This window comes from Homo sapiens, chromosome X (assembly GCF_000001405.40).
Source record: "Homo sapiens chromosome X, GRCh38.p14 Primary Assembly".
NCBI classification, from domain to species: Eukaryota; Metazoa; Chordata; class Mammalia; order Primates; family Hominidae; genus Homo; species Homo sapiens.
Window position 1 is genome coordinate 69594480 of NC_000023.11, and position 22239 is coordinate 69616718.

The 22239-nt window shown below is 40.3% G+C and overlaps 1 protein-coding gene across 10 annotated transcripts in view, besides 1 other annotated feature; it reads left to right on the top strand.

Moving 5' to 3' along the window:
* Nucleotides 21462-21581: a silencer, noted in NCBI's record as "silent region_20888". NCBI's record gives its function as "represses an Ori minimal core promoter by ATAC-STARR-seq in GM12878 lymphoblastoid cells {active_cell/tissue: GM12878}" and the evidence as "EXISTENCE:reporter gene assay evidence [ECO:0000049][PMID:35858748]".
* The window catches only part of EDA (ectodysplasin A), a 423360-nt gene continuing 422754 nt past the window's right edge, over nucleotides 21634-22239 (top strand). For all 10 annotated transcript variants that reach the window (XR_001755660.2, NM_001399.5, NM_001005609.2 and 7 more), the window contains exon 1: nucleotides 21634-22225. Coding sequence is in view for 9 of the 10 variants with exons in the window: in NM_001399.5 (NP_001390.1) it covers nucleotides 21830-22225 (396 nt within the window). In the remaining variant the exon portion in view is untranslated. The remainder of the gene's footprint in view (nucleotides 22226-22239) is intronic.

Below are 22239 nucleotides of genomic sequence, written 5' to 3' on the forward strand. Positions count from 1 at the left end.
ATTAATAGAATGAAGAGACAACACAGGGATTGGGAGAAAATATTTGCAAATCATACATCGAATAAGGGGCTAATATATACAAGGGACTCAAACTGCTCAAGAACAAAGAAAACAAATAACCCTATTTAAAAATGGGCAAAGGATTTGAATAGAAATTTTTCAAAAGAAGACGTAAAAGTGGCCAACATATATATGAAAAAAATCTTCAATATCTCTAATCATCAGAGAAATGCAAAATAAAACCAGAATGAAATATCACCTCACACCTGTTAGATTGACTATCATCAAAAAGATGAAAGATAACAAGCATTGTTAAGGATATGGAGAAAAGGGAACTTTTATACACTTTTGGTAGTATTATAAATTAGTACAGTCATTTTCTCAAAAACTGAAAAATAGAATCACCATATGATCCAGAAATCCCACTACTGGGTATATACCCAAAGGAATTCAAATCAGTATGCTGAAGAGATGCCTGCATTTCCATGTTTATTGCTGCATTATTCACAATAGCTAAGATACAGAAACAACCTAAGTGTCCATCAATGGATGAATGGATTTTAAATTGTGGTATTTATACATAATACTATTTGGCCTTAAAAAACACACAGGAAATTCCAGGCCAGGCACAGTGGCTCATGCCTGTTATCCCAATGCTTTGGGAAGCTGAGGCAGGAGGATCCCTTGAGGCCAGGAGTTCAAGACCAGCCTTAGCAGTATATCAAGACCCCGTCTCTCCAAAATAAAATAAAATAAATAGCCAGGCATGTCATGCACCTGTAGTCCTAGCTACTTGGAAGACTGAGACAGGAGAATTGCTTGAGCCCAGGAATGCAAGGTTATAGTTATATCACTGTACTCCAGCCTGGGTGACAGACCCTTTCTCTAAAAACAAAAACAAAAAATAAACAGGAAATTCTGCCATCTGTGACAACATGTGTGGACTTAGAGTATATTATGTTAAATGAAATAAGCCAGACATAGAGACAAATGCCGCAGGATCTCACTTATACATGGAATTTTTAAAAGTTGAACTCACAGAAGTAGAGAGTAGAATGGTGGTTACCAGAGGCTGGTGGTGGGAGGGGGATGGGGAAAGGGGAGACATTATCAACAAGTACAAAATTTCAGTTAGACAAGAAGAATAAGTTCTGGTGTTGTATTGCACAACAAAGGTGACTAAAGTTAATCATGTATATTTCAAAATAGCTAAAAGAGAGGATTTTAAATGTTCTCACAACAAAGAAATGATAAGCATTCAAGGTGACAAATACGTTAATTATTTGATTTGATCATTCTGCAATGTATGCTTGTATTGAAACATCACATTGTACTCCATAAATATATGCAATTATTATTTGTCAGTTAAAAATTAAAAAGAACAAAGTTAGAGGGCTAATACTACCTGATTTTAAGACTTCCTTTAAAGCTACAGTAATATAGACAGCATGGTATTGGTGTGAAGATAGATAAATAGATCAGTGGAATAGAATAGAAAAACCATAAATAGACTTTTACATGTAAGGACAACTGATTTTTGACAAAGGTGAAGAGGCAATTTAGTTGAGAAAGGATACTGTTTTCAATAAATGATGCTAGAGCAATTAGATAGATATGTATATGTCAAAAAAGAGAGAACATAAATCCATACCTTGCATCTAAAAAAATGCTCAAAATGGATCATAGACTTAAATGTAATACTTCTAGATAGAATAGCATAGAGCATAGATGTAAATATAAATTTCTAGAAGAAAACATAGAAAAAAACCTTTGTGAACTAGGATTAGGCAAAAATGTCTTAGATATGACACCAAAAACACAATACATAAAAATGTGATAAATTGGACTTCATTAAAATTTAAAACATCTGTTCTTCAAAAGACATGGTGAAGAAAAGAGTAAGATGACCCACAAAATGAGAGAAAATATGTGCAAACCATATATCTTATAAAGGACATGCACTCAGAATATATAGAGAACTGCCAAAACTTATCACTAAGAAAATAAATAACTAAATTAAAAATGGGCAAAAAATATGAAAAGATATTTCACTAAAGAAGATATCTGAATGGCAAATAAGCACGTGAAAATATGCTCAACATTGATAGTCCTTAGGGAAATATAAATAAAATTGCAATGAGATACCAACTATTAGAACAGTTAAAATTTTGACCATACCAAGTCTTGGCAAGGATGCAGAGGAAATGGAACTCTCTCATACATTGCTGATGGGAATGTAAATGGTACAACCATTTTTGAAAACAGTTTGCAGGTTCTTAAAAAGTTAAACATACATTTGCTATAAGATCCAGCTTTGTCCATTTGTGCTGCTATAACAGATTACCTGAGACTGGGTTATTTATTTATTTGAGACTGAGTTTCACTCTTGTCACCCAGATTGGAGTGCAATGGCGCAATCTCGGCTCACTGCAACCTCCACCTCCCGGGTTCAAGCAATTCTTCTGCCTTGGCCTCCCGAGTAGCTGGGATTACAGGCGCCTGCCACCACACCTGGCTAATTTTTTGTATTTTTAGTAGAGACGGGGTTTCACCATGTTGGCCAGGCTGGTCTCGAACTGCTGACCTCAGATGATCCACCTGCCTCGGCCTCCCAAAGTGCTGGGATTACAGGCATGAGCCACCGCGCCCAGCCACTGGGTCATTTATAAGAACAGAAATTTATTTTCTCGTAGTTCTGGAGACAAGGAAGTCCAAGATCAAGGTCTGGCATGTTCGTTGTCTGAGGGCCGCTCTCTGCTTCCCTGATGGTGTTTTATTTGCTTCACTCTCTGGAGGGGAGGAAGACTGCGCTATCACATGGCAGAAGGGCAAAAGGAACAAAATCCTGTCAACCCCTTTTTAGAGGGCATTTAATCCCATTCACAAAAGTGGGGAACTCTCATAACCTAATCACCTCTTAAATGTCCCACCTCTTAATACTACCACATTGGCAATGCCTGAATTTTGGAGGAGACACATTCAAACCATAGCACCAACCACACTACTCTTAGATTTTTACCCAAGAGAAATGAAAGTATGTGTCAGGACAAATACTTGTACATGAATGTTCATAGCAGCTTTATTTGTACTGGCCAACAACTGGAAACAGCTCAAATGTTTGGAAATGGATAAACAAACTGTGGTATGTCGACACAATAGACTATTGCTCAGCATTAAACAGGAATAAACTGAGTGAATGGCATAACATGGATGAATCTCAAAAGAATTAAGCTGAGTGAAAGAAGCCAAAGTGTTCATATTGTATGATTCCATTTATGTAAAACAAGAAGAAATGCAAACTAATACATAATGACAGAAAGCAGATCAGTAGTTCCCTTGAGACAAGGCTGAATGGGGACAGATTAAAAAAGGGCATGCAGAAACTTTGGAGTAATGGTTATGTTCAATATCTTAATTGTGACGGTATATACATACATTAATCTCATTAAATTGTATACTTTAAACGTGTGAAATTTTATTGTATGCCAATTATATCTCAACAAAGGTGTTAAATTAAATGATCCTGGCAACATTTTTTTATGGCCATAGACAAGCTTATTCTAAAATTTATATTGAAAGGTACAGGACCTAGAATAGCTAAAGCATCTTTAAAAAGAAGAATAAAATGGGAGGAATGAGTCTACCCAATATGAAGTCCTGCTACATAGCCACAGTAATCAAAATAGTGTCACGTTGGAAGGATAGACACATAGATCAATAAAATGGGATAGAGAACCTAGAAATAGACACACACAAATATGCCCAATTGATTTTTGACAAAGGTGTAAAACCAATTCAATTGAGGAAGCATAGACTTTTCAATAAACGGTCCTGGAGCCACTGAGCATCTATAGGCAGAAAAATGAACATCTATCTAAACCTTATACCTTATAAAATTAACTCAAGGTGAATTACAGACTTAACAAAGAACTATTATTTAAAAGTTTAGAAAAATAGGGGGAAATCTTTTGGATATAGGGCCAGGCAGAATTTGTAGACTTTATACCAAAAGCATGATCCATAAAAGAAAAAATTATAAATTGGACTTTATCAAAGTTAAAAACTTTTGCTTTGTGAAAAAACATGTTAAAGGAGGAAAAGATAAGCTACACACTGGGAGAAAATATTTGTACAACACATATTTGATAAAGGATTTGTATCTCATATACTACAAAGAGCTCTTAAAACTCAACAATAAAAAAGCAATCCTATTAGAAAATGGGCAAAAGACATGAAGAAACCAAGAACATGGTCAAATAAGCTTATGGAAGTATGTCAACACCATTAGCCTTTAGGGCGATAAAAATTGCCCTGTGTGAGGTCATAATGAGATAATCACTATACACCTATCAGAATGGTTAAAATAGAAAAGTGACAACACCATATGCCAGTTAGTATGTAAAGAAAATGAATTCCCAATATGTTGCTGGTGGAAATATAAAATGGCACAGCCACTCTGGAAAACAGTTTGATAGTTTATTATAAAACTAAACATGCAATTACTATATGACCCAGTAATTACACACCTGGGCATTTATCCCAGAAAAATGAAAATTTGTATTGACCTAAAAACTTGTACACAAATGTTAATAGCAGCCTTATTCATAACAGTCAAGACTGGGAACAACTCAGGTAACATAAAACGGGTGAATGTTTAAACAAACCACGGTATATCCATACCACGGATTACTACTTAGCAACAGAAAGGAACAAACTACTGATACACATGTCTTAGTCTGTTTTATATTGCTATAACAATACCACAGACTGTGTACTTGATAAACAATAGGAGTTTGTTTGGATCACATTCTGGAGGCTGAGAAGTCGAAGAGCATGGCACCAGCATCTGGTGAGGGCATTCATGCTCCATCATCCATCCCATGGCAGAAGGCAGAAAAGCAAGAGAGGTACAAGAGAGGGAGAGCAAAAGGAGGCCAAACTTGCTTTTATAACAAAACCATTCTCATGATAACTAACTCACTCCAGAGATAAGGTTATTAATCCATTCATGAGAGCAGAACCCTCAATGACCTAGTCACCTCTTATTAGGTTCCATCTCCCAGCGCTGCTGCATTGGGGATAAAGTTTTCAACACATGAACTTTGGGGGACTCATATAAACCATAGCAATGGATTATATGTGCCTTAATCTTGGACTTTCCAGCCTCCAGAACTGTGAGAAATAGATTTCTGCTCTTTATAAATTGCTCATGTGAGGGTATTTTGTTATAGCTGCCTAAACAGACCAAGACAGGCCCTCATGTACAGAAATACTGTCTCATGTAAAAAGGATGGAGGGATAGGGGAGACTGAAAGCCAGTCTAGGCAGAAGGAACAGCAGGTGCAATAGCCCTGAGGCAAGAGAGAAGTTGACTGGGGTTGGAGGTGCAGGACAGAAAGAAGGTAGTTGAAGCAGAGGATTTCACCAGGGGAAGGAGATGAGCTCAGAGATGTGGCTTGGATCAAGATTGTATATTGCCCTGTAGACAGTTGTAAGAAGTTTAGATTTTATTCTGGTTGAGATAGAAATCATCTTATGGTTTTGAGCAGGAGAGTACCATGATCTGCTTTGTAATTTAGGCAGATCATACACACTGGTGTATGAGCAGAACAAGGAAGAAAGTGGAAAGGCCAGTTAGAAGGTTGTTGCAGTGATCCAGTTAAGGGAAGAAGGTTTAGCCTAGGGTAAAGGGACCTGTTAGTTCTGTGAAGTAAAGAAATGGTCCGTGTTATGGATATGTTGAGGTGTCACATTAATGTCTCATACAGAAAGATGTGTTAAATGTGAGATAGTGGCAAGTACCTCCAAATGACACTTACCAGCAGGTAGCTGGAAATCCAGAAAAGCATCAAGAAGTAAAGAGCTAGATATAAGAGTCATTATCATTGAGGGTATGATTGAGTGCTTGGAAATAGATGACATCACCAAAGAAGCAAGAGAGAAGAACAGAGAAGACCGAGGGTAGAATTTGGGATAGCACCCGTATTCATGTTATTTTTTTCTGTTAAAATTACTTTAAATTATGAAAGTAATATAAAAATATTACAAGAAATTTGAAAGTAGAAAAAAGAAAAAAGTCTGATGACCCAAATCAACCATTTTATTATTTTGAAAGATTTCTTCCTCCAGGGTTTTTAATATATATCATTTAACTAGTGTGCATATAGTTTTATATTGTATTATATTTCCTCACTGTTCCAGAATAGCCTACACTTTGGAAGTGGGAGAAGAGGGCCCAGCAAAGCCAATGGAATTATTTAGCAAAGGAGAGTAATACAAGGGAGTAGTGGCATTAGACTCCTATCGGTGACTTTGGAACGGAAATAGAGATGTATATAGATGCTAGTTTTTAGTTTGGTGGCAAAAGGAAGGGAAAGGATAAAATCTTGAAGTGGTGGGTGGATCCAGGGAGGGTTTTTTGGGTGAAAGATATCTAAGTATTTCTATAGGCAGAGGAAGGAAGCAGAAGAGAGGGAGAAATTGGAAATGTTGTTGACAGGGTATGGAGCATAGTCTCTACAGAAGTAGGAGGGGTCTGGATTAACAGCTGGGAGAGAGATAAATTTCTCTGACATAGGAGAGAAGAAGAAGAGATTGGGTAAGGGAAGAAGTTGAGGTAGCTCATCCTCCTTGAAGATGACTTGAGGGTCTCAGTCACGTAGAAGATAGTCAGGTCATCTCCCGAGAATGAGAGAGACAAAAGTGGGCCATGGGCTTTGGGAAGTAAATAATGTTTGGATTGGTTAAGACAGAAAGTCAAGAAGATTGCAAAGCAGATCAGTGGGTAACTAAAGTTGGAATTAGAATTAGAGAGGACCTCCAACATCATCTAGTCCAATTCCTCATTTATAGATGAAGGCTTGAGGTTAAGAGGGGTATGCCAATCACACAGCTACTAAGAGTTAGAGCTGGGATGTAGAACCTAGGTCTACATAAACTGTCCAGCCCAGAAAAGCAAGCTTAATGTTTTCCTTTTGATCCATCCCATGGGAAAGACTTTCCCCTGGCTAGCCAGGGACAAAACAGGGCAAAACCCAGGAAACACCTTTATTCCAAATGCAAGCACTCTCCAGAATCTGCATGTACAAAATCTACAAAATCTACAGCCCTCTCTACAAAATGCAAGCACTCTCCAAAATCTACAGCCCTCTCTGTAAGAGCTATCTTAACAAATAATCCCTCATCTAGAATATTGAAAAGCCAAGTATAGGGTTTCAAAAAAGTGTTGGAAGGCTTTTACCTTAATCAACTAGACAATACACCTCAAAAGAGCTCTATTCCATTTTGTCACAATGAAATAGAGGCTTAGCAAAAAATTAGAAATAACCTCGAATAACCAACATTAGGGACATGGTTTAATAAGCGATGATCCATCAACAGCATGGAATGTGCAGTCATTAAAATAATTATAAAGACTGTAGAAATAAAAACATGCTTATGATATAATGGTCAGAGAAGATGCAGAATTCAAAATGATAATTATACCATAATAGCAAATATGTAAAAATAACTTATGCCCATTGAAGGTAACATTCAGAAAGAGAAAACTGTTCATCTGTTCATGATGAATTACAGATGTCATGACTTCTAAATATTCTTTATTATTGTTATATCATCTGTTCAAATAAACATTCAAATAAATAAAAAGTAACTATTATTTCCTCCAGAAAAGAAGTACTCATTTTCACGGTTGCTGAAAGCAAATGTTTTCTATTGTTAAATAAACTTAAATGAAGGCATGGATGGGGATCCTAGTCCATTGGAATGCTCAACTTCTTCAACACAATAAGCAAAGGCATTCAGCAGCAATGTCTTCTGGCTGTCACAGGAACATATTTTGGGTACCTCTCCTTTAGCAACACCCCCTTTTTCTCCCTTTCCCTCCTCTAGGATTAGAAGCAGATGGCAGGAGCTGGTAGATCTGGAAGGGCAGCCCAGGGAGAGAAGAGGTTCTAATATTAGGCTCCTAGGTGTTATAGTAGTTTCACCTATTTATTTGCTTAAATTTATTTTTGATTTATTTTAGCAACTGTACTCCATAAAAGGGAAGAAAGGAACTATTTTAATCTGTAATCCTACTACTGAATACAATTTTTTAATGTATCTGTTCTCTGGAGATAGGCTTTTATACAATGAAAATATCTATACAATTGTGTGTTCTATTTTTGTCTCTTAACATTATTGTGTTTAGATATTTCAATGTTTATTGCAGTCCTCAGAAGTAAGATTACATAATATTCCATTCAATCTATATGTCTTAATTCACTTATCTATTCTGATTTTGTTGGACATTTGGCTATTACCTTTTTAAAAGATTATGCATAATGGCATTGTAAAATGTACTTGTATATATAGTTTTTTTTCCTTCTTTTGAAAGATTACCTAATGAAAAACTTCCAGGAGTGGAATTACTGTGTGAAAGGGCATGAATTTTCTTTATGGCTTCTCACATAAATTGCCAAATTGCCCTTCAAAAGAATTGTCCTAATTTATCCTGCTGCTCATACTATTGTATGATGATATCTTTCTATTCTCTTTCTCAGAGCTGAATCAACATGTACTTGATGTTTTTTGCTACTTTAATAAGTATAAAATAATATCTCATTATTGTTCTTTAGTACCAGCATGATTGAATGAGTTAAATTATATCATCTAAGAACCCAATCTCAGATCTTGAATTAAAACTGGTGGCTCCCAACTCCTAGTCCAATGCTTTTTTTAAAACAAAACAAAACAAAACAAATTAGTGTGTGTGTGTGTGTGTGTGTCTGTGTGTGTGTATGAATTGTGTGTTTCACACCTTTCCCAGCTGCCTAATGGTGTGAGTTGTTGCTGGAGAGAAGGTGAAGAGAAAGGGGGCAACTACCAAAGGGTTGAAGTTACTCCCTGCCATATGTTGCTCTTCCACACTATATAAGAGATGCCAGGATGCCAGGTATCATCAAGTTAATCAATGAATGGCAGAGCAAAACTGGAAGCTGATAAGTACTGCCAAAGAATGGAGAAAACTATCAATGAAAAAACTCAGGCTTGTTTTTGATTTCTGGACCTGTACTGGTTTTCAGTCATACATAAAGCCCAAAGGTATACGGGCACTTAATAGAAAATCAGTTACACAATATGTGAAGTGCTAGAAAAATTGGCAGAATTCTTCACAATCCTCCCTAATGTGTTCCTGAAGTTTCCTAGTGAGCCTACTCATGAGATTGTATTTACTTGTACTTTGTTGCCAGGCAAGAATCAAGGTGTTGTATTTCAACCAGATGTCTTGAGCTGGGTTTTGCAAGATAGCGTAGCAAACAGGGAGACATGTGTTTTCCTTTACACAGACCTTCTTAGGCCATCACCAGCTGCTTTCAGTCTCATGTGTGGATCTCTCCACTTGTCAGATTTCCTAGCTCCTGAGGTTTTGGAAAAGCCACTCTTGGTTTCTTTAATCCATTTTGGGCATTGCTAATTCTCTTTTAGGTGTCAAATTACACTTCCGGCAGTTTCTTAGGCCATCCCTTAGGCTGCCTCCCTAACCTGGGCCCCAAGGGTTATGGGGCCTGCTGACCTTAAAGCAGTCTGATTGCAATAGTTCTCTCTAGTGTCAAGGAAAATTATGAAAGACTGAATGGGCAAAAAAGATTACTGGATGTTCTGACTTGTGCATTCTTCTGGGATATCTGTGCCTTTTATTGTATTTGAGCTATTTAACAACTTTATAAGTTGTAAGAAACTGAAAATAATGCAAAATACTCTTATCCATAGAAATACAAAGAATTTTGTCTGATGCCATCCAATTGGTTATTGTCCTGGATATTGGATATTGACCAGTTTTGTATCTATTTGAAAACTCAGTTCAGTATTCTTAATTACCTGTAAGAATCTATGTTCTTCAAATTCACCTTTGAACTGGTTGTAACATCTTACTGTTTCTCTCATTAAATAATGAGTTCAATAAAAATTTTTGACATGTGTTTCTTTTATATTTGCATGAGTCATGATATTTTCTTTAAAAATTATCCTTTAACACTAGCCTGCCTTTCTTCAGAGGCTTGCAGGTCCAAATGAGCCTCTCTTTTTGCCTTTTTGTCTGAACTGGAAGCATTTAGCTCTGTTCACCATGATATTTCAATTTAACTATTTTTAAAAAGTGAGAGAAGAATTCAAAATGACAACTATATTAGCTATAACTTCAACTAATGCTTCCTCCGACCAGCTCCTCTCAGAATTCTGTTCTCCAGCTTCCCCAAAAGACACTTTTGGAAGAAGCAATTTACTTTGATAGCAAGTTTTTGGCCCCATCAGAATCTGGAGAAAGAAGCTCCCCGACTTGTTCACAGCAGATATAATCACCCCCTTTGGAGGCTGGGGCTTCTCAGAAGTCAAGTGGTCGTTTCTCGGTAAGTTTTGACCTTTCAAAAACTGTAGTTTTATGTAAAAACCAATTGCTTTATGTAGAAACTTTTCATTTCCACCTCAAATTTCAAAATTTTAAAAGTACATTTAGGGGACAGCTTGGCAGCTGTTTCTTTAAAAATAAATGTTACCAATTAAAGTATAAAGGTCAGTTGCACAGAGCCTTTTGGTGGCAGGATTCTGAAACAGTCAAGGCAAGGTGAGGATTTGCACTCAGCTGTTGAATACAGGAATGAGGCTGGATAAAATGGAGGAATACCTCAAGGCAAAGTACAAACCAGGAAAATTATTAGAGACTGGTAGGGAATGAGGACTAGGAATCAGAAGCTAAGCCAGTGATTTCTAGTTGATTTCCTGTTTCATGCTTTTAGCTCAGCAGAAGTAAAATGAAAGTAATTCATGTGTTTTGAAAATGCCTTAAGAGTGTCAGGTACAGATATGTAAGGTAGTAGCTTGAGGGTAGAGGGAGGAGCAATTGGTTCTAGTCCAGCTCATTCATTAACTTAATGGGCATGATTCTTGGCCCTTCTAGGCTTCAGTTTCTTCTTTTGAAATAGGTTGGACTGGACTCGGTGGCCTCCTGAGGGTCTTCCAGTTCTGACCTCTTGAGTTATGTATAAAAGCTGAGGGAAAAAAAAGCATGTGAGTTTTGGAACTCTGGGGGTTAAAGTAGAACTCGCTAAACTTGGGTTGTCACACCTAGTACTGCAGACCTAAGGCCTTTGGGCCCAGGAGCCCAAGATCTGGTGGGTAGTAGTGACGCTTAGGTCATATAATTTCTCGGGGCTCCCATCTCCTTCCCTCTCAGCAGGCACTCTCCTTTCTCAAGCAATTTGGCACATTCCTAAGGGCAACTTCCTTCCCGCAGGCATGGGCTTGGTGTCTCAACTCCTGCTTCTGTGGGTCCTGCTTTCTGTTGCTACAGAAAGCTTAGTTTCTAGTCTTTTCACAAAGGAGTCAGTTTGTGGAAGCTTATTCTTCAGTAGCCATTGCTGTAAAGCACATTTCAGTCAAGCAAAGTCTGTATTCCCAGTGTTAATCGAAGATAGGTCACAATAGGAAAACAAAATCCCTAAGCTGACTGAACTGAACTTGTATGATAAAAAGGGTTAAGATAGTGGTCAAGACTGCTGTAGGTCTATGACATGCTGGATTTGGCCTCCTGGGTATTCATTTATTAGTTCACACAGTTCACTGAAGTTCTGTGAGCTGTGAGTGCCTATAGCCAGTGCTCAAAAAACTCTTTGAGAAGTGGATGGATGTATAAATGAAGTAATGAATGGGCAAGTGAAAGAATCAATATAAAACCCTCTGGGAATTTTTTGCTGAAACTGTTATTTTGTAGTAGCACTTTGCAAACCCCCTCTGCTAGCAGGTACCCCACTATTTTCTCCTTGGCTCTACCTCACGTAATTTCTTGGGTCTCCATTTTCTACTGCTGCAATTTTCTGCTTCAGTTTTGTGATTTTTCGAGATCTAATTTGACTTGGCTGCAGTATCATACCTTCCCATTGGACGGTAAGATCATATTGGAATGAGGAAAAGGTACCGCCATCTAGTATCTATTAGATTCTAACTTTAAAATTACAGAAAACTCCTTATTCCTTAGGTTTCTGAGTATGCAAAATAAATTGTTCAGCATGGCATAATGAAAAGAATGTGGGCTTTTCAATCAGGACAGATTTGGATTTGAATCTTAGCACTACATCTACCAGCTGGGGGACATCAGACACAGTACTTCACTTTTCTCTGGGCCTGTCTTTTTTTTTACATGTAGGAAAATGAGCAATTTATCTTGTAAGGTTGTTCCTGAAGATCAAATGAGATAAACATATGTAACTTTGCCAAACATAGTGCCTGGCACATAGTAGGTACTCAATACGAGGTAGCTATTATCTTAATATCTTACATTTGTATAGCATTTTATATTTTACAAATTCTACCATACTTTCTTTTACTCATCCTAATTCTAGCATCATTATTTATTAACAGAATATATATATATTCTATATATATTCTATATATATATATATACACATTGATATCATAAGACTGAAGATCAACTTGGAGCTCATCTTCATACACCAACTGCTCACCTTGGACCTAGGCTTCCATGATTCCCATCCTTCCAGGAGCCAGACTGTTACCCTGTAGCGTCCATTCCTGGATTTTTACTCATCAAGTGTTAAGCAGCTTAGAAGCGTGCTTAAATTCCAATAGGCTATTAATTTAGCATTTCTTAGCCCAGGACTGCTAGTTCTCTGAGTTGTTTAAAGGAAAGCTTTCGAATTGGGGTGATTCACATTTTTTTGTGCAATGTTTGAAGACTCTAAAACTGTTAGGACATGGCATTTCCCAAATTATAAGAGTGTGCCTGTGAATCTGGTCCAGCTCAGAGGTGTAGTGGGAGGAGGGACAAGGCCATTTAAAAGCTTTGCTGCTATACTGAATTTGTGAAATAGAGTCCCTATTTTCCAAATAAAAATGTTCTTATTGTACATTAATTGTATTAATTCTTTGTTTTGTCCACAAATGTATTCCCAGCACTTAGACTGGTGCCCGGCACATAGCAGATACTCTATGAATGCTTACTGAATAAATATGCTATATAAAATATCCAAAGTTAAGTGTATTACCTGAATGTAATCTAGTTGTGGGCAGCTGGAGTCATTTTGGGAAAGTTATTATAACTCTAGATTTTTCCAAGCCCTGTCACAGGTTGCTTATCACAGAACCAAGATTGGATCCTAGAGAGCCTTACTCTCCAGGGCTCAGATCCCTAAGATCTGTTCTCTAATTCTCATGACCAAGAAATGCAGACTGTGGGCACAATAAGCTCTTTGGCCAGATGGAGCAGGCAAATATAAGTGTAATGAGTAAATATGACAGGTTTAGTAAGAAAAAGAACCCTAGGCTGAGTCAGGTACACTGACTGTGTAACCTTGGATAAGTCATTCAAGTAGTCACCTCTCTGAGCTTCAGTTTCCTCCCATTAAATGATGTCAAATGGCCACTCTACCTACCACACATAGTTGTTTGGAGGATGTCAGAACCTGTAAAAAACAATTCCAGTGATTCTCTTAAAGTCCTACTTTGCCAGAACTGAATCTGCAATCTCCACTGTGGTCCTGATGTGACATGTGGCATGGCTCTGTGGAATATGTAGTGCAGTATGTGTTTCTAGGCTACTTGGTGGCCCGAATGGTGGTGCTGACACACATTGCAGGGGACACAGATGCAAATGACATTCTGCCAGCAACAGGATTTTCTATTTTTGAATGAAAAATTCCTCTCATGAAGTGAGAGCCTCCCCATATGCTCGGCCACCCATGAGTAGCCAAAGACTTTATTGCAAAAATGAATATTCCATGTTATTATTGTGCCATTTTGCTCCCTAAAGCAAGAATAATTTCTATCTCCTTATTATTGCTTCATGAATTTCTGCAAACATTTCTATGCCAGTCATGGCCATAGTCATTTCTCACAGCAAGTAAGAGGTCTGCTTTTCTTCTCCCTTCTTCAGTATATGTTTAATTTTTTTTCCTAAATACTCCTGACAGCCTCACTTATATAACTGTGCTCAGCATTTTATTTTACTTTGCTTTCCACCTAAAGCAGCTGTCTTCTCTCCGTCAAACCTAGACCCCTTCTGCCTTCAAACTGCTGCTTAAAATTCATCTCTACAGAGTCTCCAATCCATTAACAAAGATTTGGTAAGCAATGGCTTGAGGTAGATTCTGTAGGGGCTAAGACAAAGCCCTGTCCTTTGAGGAGTGCTAGCTATAAGCTGGAAAAATTAGACCCTCACACAGAATGGGGGAAGAATTAGCAATTGTGAGTGGCATACTCTCAGTGCCAGCTGTGTCGTATGGGCAGGGTGTCCTGGTGGAGAGCACTGTGGGCAGGCAGGGTCAGGAGGCGGAACTTGAGCTGGGCCTTGAAAAATGAGCCAATTTCAAATAGGCAAAGGGGAAGGGAAAGGAAATTGGAAAGGGGAAGTGGAATAATGTCAGCAAGAGGCAAAGACACAGGAATGTGGACATTTGTTCCTGGACAATGAGAGCCAACGTTATGCAGAGGCAGAGGTTTGTGGAGACCTAGCAGTGGCACAGCTGGAAAGGTAGTGTGGGGCCAGATTGGAGGACCTTGGATGTTAGGCTACTGTTCTGAAGTCAGTGGGATTACTGTGCAGAAGAATGACCTGATAGGATCCAGATTTAGATACCTTTATCTAATTATAGTATACTCAGTGGCCTTGGAGTTAGGGCAAAATGGTGGTGTCGGTAGCAGCCAGGCAGGAGGGAGAAGAAACTCTGACTTGCAGCCAGCTTATCACTCTGCCACTCCAGAAATCTCACAATTTCTATGTGTCTAGCTCTATGAAGCTGATACACTACCTGTTGTCAGCTGGGAGGTAAGGTTGAGGACATGGAGCATGGTATCTTTGAGCCAGTCAGACCTGGATTCAAATTCAGACTCTGCCACTTAGTTGCTTTTGAATTTGGGCCAGTCATTTAACCTCCCTGAGCCTTGGTTTCCTCATCAGTGAAACACGGAAAACACTAAACTCACACAGAAGTTAATAAGAAAGACTGGCACATCAAAGATAAATCTTCAACCAATGTTCCTTTCCTTCCTTCTCTCCTCTTGTAGTTAGCTTTGTGACCCTGAGTATCTTTTTCTCTGGGAGAATTGCCTCATGCAAAATGAGACAGCTGTCCTTTCCTACTTTACTATGCTAAAAGAAAAGGCCTTGCCTATCCAGTAACACATCTGACCAGTCCTTCTTTCTCCTTCTTCTTACTCTACTAGGGATGGAATTCATTCATCCCATCAACAAACATTTATTGAGAGCCTATTATGTGTCAGGCACTATTCTTGGTCCTGTAGACAAAGCAGTGAACAAAACCAGACAAAAATCTCTGCCCTTGTAGAACTGATATTCTAGTTGTGGCTGCAGAAGAGTCATACAATAAACAAATAAATATATAATATGTGCTAAGAAGAAAAATACAGCAAAATAAGGGGACAGAGAATGATAGGTTGATAGGAAATTGGCCAAGGAAAGGTTCTCTGATAAGGTGACATCTAAGAAGAGTCCTGGAGGAAGTAAGGGAGAAGCCATGTGGCTGTCTGGGAGAATAGCATTTCAGGCAGGAGGAAATACAGGTAAGAAGACCCTTAAGTGGGAGCATTCTTTGCAGGTTCAAGGAACAACCAAGAGTCCAACATGACTGGAGCAGAGTGAACAAGGAAAACAGAGGTAGATTACAAGCCCAGGGAAGCAAACAGCAATCAGATCATGTAGGGCCTTGTAGGCCAAGATAAGAACTTTGAGAGAGATGGAGAACCATTGGAGGAGATGGAGCATAAGAGTGATAGACTCTGACTTAATATTTTCACAGAATGTCTCTGACTACAGGGTAGGGAATAGACTGTAGGATGGCCAGGACAAAAGCATGGAGACCCTGTATACATTTATAGTAATCCAGGTGAGAGAGCACTGGGGTTTGGACTAGGATGATGACAGGAAGGTGGTGAGAAGTGGTCAGGTTCTAGATACATTTTAAAGGCAGAACTGACAGAACCCACTAACATATTTGATGTGGAGTGTTCAAGAAATCGTTCAAGGATGATCTCATAGTTTTGGGCTTGTCCGATGGGAGGTTGGCGTTGCCATTTACTGAGATGCAGAAGACCAAGGGATAAGTACATTTCGGGGGAGAAGAGGTTTGTTTTTGGTCATGTTAGGTTTGAGATGTCTATTAGACAGTTAAGTGAAAATGGAGAGGATCAAGTTGAATACAAAAGCAACAAGTCAGGGGAAGTTGGTGAGAACATATAGGTCCTATCTCAAACTTTAAGTATGCAGAAGCAGGGCCAGGGACTTAGTGAAGGCAAATTATGTAGATGCTTTTCTACATTTCTGCCATGTCCTTGAGTACTGCTACATGTTTTTCCTCTCATCCTTTTTTGATGGAAGTCTCCTACATAACAGGGACTAACATTTACTATGCATTTATTATATGCCACACAGTGATAGCATCTCAAGGAGTTGAGAAAGTGCCACCCCATAATATGCCACTTTGGACTTCAAACTGAGGGCATTTGGGGAACAGCAAATTCAGGGAGGGATTTCTGAACTTTCCTTTTCTGTCTAAAGACAGATCCTCCAAAAGGAACTCAATTGTTATGAATCCCCTCCCTGGAAATCTCATCAACCAGGGAAGATTAAACCCGTATTACAAGAGAGGAGACTGGAGGTTGACATCATGCCCAGATAAGCTTTATCACAGGGTGTCACCTATTCTTCTGAGGTCCCATTTATCTTTCCCCAAAATCATTTATTCCTCCTAGAGGCCTACTTCCCCCCTCCCCTCTTCCCTATGAAAAGGGTCTATAAGCTTCTAGATCTCACTGGGTTGGGCATTCACTTTTTTTTCATGTGATGTCCCCATGCATGTAAAAAAAATGTGTATGCCTGCTATAGTTTGGATGTGGTTTGTTGTCCCTACCAAATCTCATGTTGAAATTTGATCCCCAACATTGGAGGTGGTGCCTAATGGGAAGTGTGTTAGTTATGAGAGCAGATTCCTTGCGAATAGATTAATGCCCTCCCTGGGGATGAATGCATTTTTGCTCTGTTAGTTCCCCCCAGAACTGGTTTTTAAAAAGAGCCTGCCCCCACCCCATCTCTCTTGCTTCCTCTCTCCCCATGTGATCTCTGCACATGCTAGCTCTCCTTCACCTTCTGCCATGAGCGAAAGCAGCCTGAGGTCCTCATCAAATGTTCAGTCCTAAACTTTTCCCAGACATCAGAATCATGAGCCAAATAACGTTTTTTTCTTTATAAATTACCCAGCCTCAGGTATTCCTTTATAGCAACACAAAATAGACTAAGATAATATATTTTCTCCTATTAATCTGTCTGCTGTCAATTTATTTCACAGACTCAGTTACCAAACCATCTGAGGATAGAGGAAAGCCTTCCCTCTCCTACACATCCTGTTTAAGTACAGCTGTCTTGCAAAATATATACTGTCATCTCCGTTTTGCAGATAAGAAAACTGAGGCTCTGTAAGAGAAGCAAAAATCACTTGTCCTAAGTCACATAGCTTATAAGTGAATAAGGTGGGATTCAAACCAGGATCTAAGTCCAAAGTTCGTGTTCCTTCCAACTATCTGATTATCGCTAAGTAGGCCAGAGAGTCACCTGATCTCTATGTCAATTATTTATTCTGTGGATTAACCAGAGCTAAGAGGTATTTAAAACCAGTCCCTGCCTAACTCCTTAGCATATTCCACTCAATTGGTGGGTATTCAGGGGTTGACAACATATTTTGGATCTTTATTATTTGGGGGTTGTCAACTAATATTGTTTTATTTTATTTTATTTTATTTTATTTTATTTTATTTTATTTTATTTTATTTTATTTTATTTTATTTTATTTTATTTTATTTTTTGAGATAGAGTTTCGCTTTTGTCACCCATGCTGGAGTGCAATGGCACAATCTCAGCTCACTGCAACCTCCGCCTCTCTGGTTCAAGCGATTTTCCTGCCTCAGCCTCCTGAGTAGTTGGGATTACAGGTGCCCGCCACCATATCCAACTAATTTTTGTATTTTTAGTAGAGATGGGTTTTCACCATGTTGGCCAGGCTGATCTGGAACTCCTGACCTCAGGTGATCTGCCCATCTCAGCCTCCCAAAGTGTTGAGATTACAGGCATGAGCCACCACGCCCAGCTATATTATTTTTTAGGGCCAGACAAACAAAAGTAGGAAGGGAAACTTGATGAGACAGACAGGTCAGTGAAATATTACAAACCAACTATATTTTAATTTCTGGATTATTTATTTTTCTGGATTACTCACAACTTCCATAGCAGCACAAGTAAGAGGATAATTTCACAATTTTCATTTGGTTCTATTTCCTTTGTAACTTTCCATAATGTATCATGTAGCTCTTCACCCAGGAAATGTTTCATAAGTGGTACGGACAGGCATCCCTTGGACAAGTTCCCTTTTTGGAATTCTAGGTAGTCTAAGTTACCGTGAGTGACTTCATGTCTTATTCATTTGACAAACAATATTGGTGCCTACTATGTGGTAGGTGCCATGCTAGGTATTAGAAATATCAAAATAAAACAATATTGGTGCCTACTATGTGGTAGGTGCTATGCTAGAGATTAGAAATAGCAAAATAGAAAGGACACAATTCTTACCATCAAGGAGCTCATAGTTTAGTGGTAAGAAATCCATGTGAAACATTCAAAATGCAGTGTGGTAAGTGATATCATCAAAGTATGCTCAGGGTGCAATGAAAGCACAAAGGAAGTCTGGTTGGAGTGAGTTGTGGGGCCATACCAGACAGAACATGTGAATTGATTCTTGAAGAATTTATCAGGTTTCTAAGGTAGGGGCAATCTTGACAAAGAAACTAGTTTGTTCAAAGGCACGGTGGTGTGAGAAGTGTCAGCAAATTTAGTAGTGTGCAAGCATGACTTCCTTGTAAAATGGTGGAAGATAATGTTGGAGAGACAGACTAGAGGGCATGTTAAGGAGCTTATATCTTGTCTCCCGTAGTACCTGGGATCAAAGAGGTAAGGTGAATGAGTGACAAGGACAGTAATGAAGGATAGAAGAAAGAGGTGGTGATGGCTGTGGAACTTGATTGTTCATGCTTATTTCAAGGAGACAGTTCTAGCTGAGTGTAGCCACATGGGAATGTGAATCCAGAGTTATAGGGTCTTCTGGTTTTTTAACAGAAAAGCAGGAAATCTGGATTTTTTAAAAATGTGAAATCTCCAGAGTTCCAATAGCTGACAATTGCTTTTTTTTTTTTTTAATTCAAAGGTTTAGTTGATACTGCACCGAACACAACACATCTGTTTGCTGGATGTGGCCTGCAGGCTGTCATTGAGACCTGTGCTTTAGGGGACAGGATACGTATGGAAGCATAGAAGCTAACTGAAACAAAACTTTAAAACACTTAAAAAATAACCACATACATTCCTCTCTGGATTGCCCCATTCCAACATTTCTACTGCATATGATGACACATGTTCTTTCTCTGGGGAAGCAAAGAGAGGTCCCAGGTCAAATGCAACCCTCAGGGCTTCTGAGGGCAATGGTGTAATCCAGAGTCTCAGTCAAGCCTGGTAGAACATGGTAAGGTGAGACCAGTGTGGCCCCTGAGCATCACCATCACCACCAGGAGATGGCTGTCATTTGTTTCCTTTTCATTTTAGAGGAAGAAAGGGCAGCCTGTTTAAACTGTGTATGCAAGAAAGTCAACATGGCCAGTGACAACACAGACAAAACACAGTGTAAAGGCTGTTAAAGTTCAAACTCCTCATTTTACTGCCGGAGAAACTAAGGCCCTGAAAAAGCACAGTGACTTGCTCAGAGGGACCCAGCAACCTAGTGGCAGGATGAAGTCTCCTGACTCCTGGTCTAGCATTCTTTCCAATAATCCCGGGCTGTGATAATTAAAGTAAATCAGCCTGGCAGTTTTCCTAGCATCTAGAATTCCTGGACTGGACAAGCAGGACTTGAGAGCAGCTGTTAAACACCTTTTTTCCCCTTAGCTCTAGGATGATGATATTCTTTGTGAACTTTATATTTCATGGGTAGGGGTTAAAGAGACGACACAAAGATGTTTTTGAAGCACTGAGACCATTCACAAAGTGTACAGAGAAAAGTTGTCTGTGGCTAATATATTTAAGGCTTATGACCTCTGTGCTCTCTGGACTGACCTGCCAGCAGATGCTTTTGGTTTTGTGTTTTATTTCTCTTATTTTGTCTTCTTTTCTATTTCTATCTATGTTTTTCTTCTCTTCCACCAGCCTAGGTCTTAGGCCTACACATAAGTGCCCCCGGCATTGCTGAGCCTCCATGATGACACTCAAGATGCCTGCTGCAAGTCAATAAAATTGTTAATTATTCATTACTCAATAACACGGAATGAGAGTGCGTAGTGACTATGAAGCATACATGGTTCCCCTGCTATGGTCATTTCGCTTTCTATAATCTCAGACTAGTAACTCTTGTCAATTGTGACTCTTGATTTAATCCTTTCCATCCTTCATTTCAGGGTCTATTGTTCTGCCTTTTGCCACTTTTTTTTTTTTATCTGAACCCGTTTCTGATTGGTGCAGCTGTTGAAGATGCTGCAGTTGCAGCAGTGTACATCTGGAACATTTGGCTGACTTGTTGAACTTCCCCCAGGGAGTACTCCAGGAGAAGGATGGGAGGGGTGGAGAGGCCAGAACAGTTGCCTGTAAATAAAGATGCCAGTAGTGTCTGGCCATTCTGTGGACCACACTTGTACAAATCCACTTCATTCTGGCCCTCGGTTTCCCTGTCTACTCACTGAAGACATACGTTCTCCAATCAAAACTGCTGCAGTGGAAGAAATCTATTCTGGCTGTGGATGCTCTCATACAGCATTTTTTGCATTGTACAGGGATCGATAGATATTTGTTGAATTAATTAATATATCAAGAAATCCTAGGAGACTGTTTTACCCTTCAAGGGACAACATCATTTCAGTTCCGCTTGGCATGGGGCGGCTTCTCTGTTACTTAGATTGAGCCTTCAGAGTCACTCCAGGAGTGAGGCTGCTTGAGTCCCACCCATTCCCATAGTTCCCAGGCTCCTGGGTCTCCTTTTCTTCGGGCGAGCCATTGAATTGCAAACACAGCAGGCATGGTTTCATTCCAAACCCAGAGCTGTTTTAATTAGTTTAACGTCTGTTAAACGCTTTGAAGATTGGAAGCAACAGATAAGTACTGGATGATGTTATTAACAACTGCAGTTAATTGCAAACATTTCTATTAATGCTAGTTTCTGCCTCCTTTTCTTTGCTCTACTTTCTTTCCAAGGTTCCCAAATTCTTAGCCTCCCCCTCCTTTCCTCCCCGTACTGGCGCTATAGGGTTAAACTGGGGCGGAGCCCAGGGATGAACGACAGCGCCAGTCACCAACTGGTACGGGGCAAGCGGGAAGAGCTGGGTGGGGCGGCCAGGCAGAGGCGAACCCTCACGCCCCCAGGCCCCGCCCCGCGGCTGGAGGCCCGGCTGGAACGGCACGGGGCGGGGCGCCAAGGCTTGGCGGCCCCGTGGTTGGGCGTCCCGGCAGCCGCTTGAGGGATGGGGCGGGGTCGGCCGGGACCTCCTCCTTCATTCCCTCGGCGGGCCGAGCCTCCCCTCTCTCCCGCCCCTCCTCCTCCCTTTCCCACCCCTCGGAGTAGAGCTGCACATGCGGCTGCTCCCTGCTCCGTCCCGCCCAGCCACTGTCGCGCAGGAACGGGTCCCTGCAGCCCCCAGCCGATGGCAGGACAGTAGCCGCCTGTCAGAGGTCGTGAACGGCTGAGGCAGACGCAGCGGCTCCCGGGCCTCAAGAGAGTGGGTGTCTCCGGAGGCCATGGGCTACCCGGAGGTGGAGCGCAGGGAACTCCTGCCTGCAGCAGCGCCGCGGGAGCGAGGGAGCCAGGGCTGCGGGTGTGGCGGGGCCCCTGCCCGGGCGGGCGAAGGGAACAGCTGCCTGCTCTTCCTGGGTTTCTTTGGCCTCTCGCTGGCCCTCCACCTGCTGACGTTGTGCTGCTACCTAGAGTTGCGCTCGGAGTTGCGGCGGGAACGTGGAGCCGAGTCCCGCCTTGGCGGCTCGGGCACCCCTGGCACCTCTGGCACCCTAAGCAGCCTCGGTGGCCTCGACCCTGACAGCCCCATCACCAGTCACCTTGGGCAGCCGTCACCTAAGCAGCAGCCATTGGAACCGGGAGAAGCCGCACTCCACTCTGACTCCCAGGACGGGCACCAGGTGAGTCACCTAGT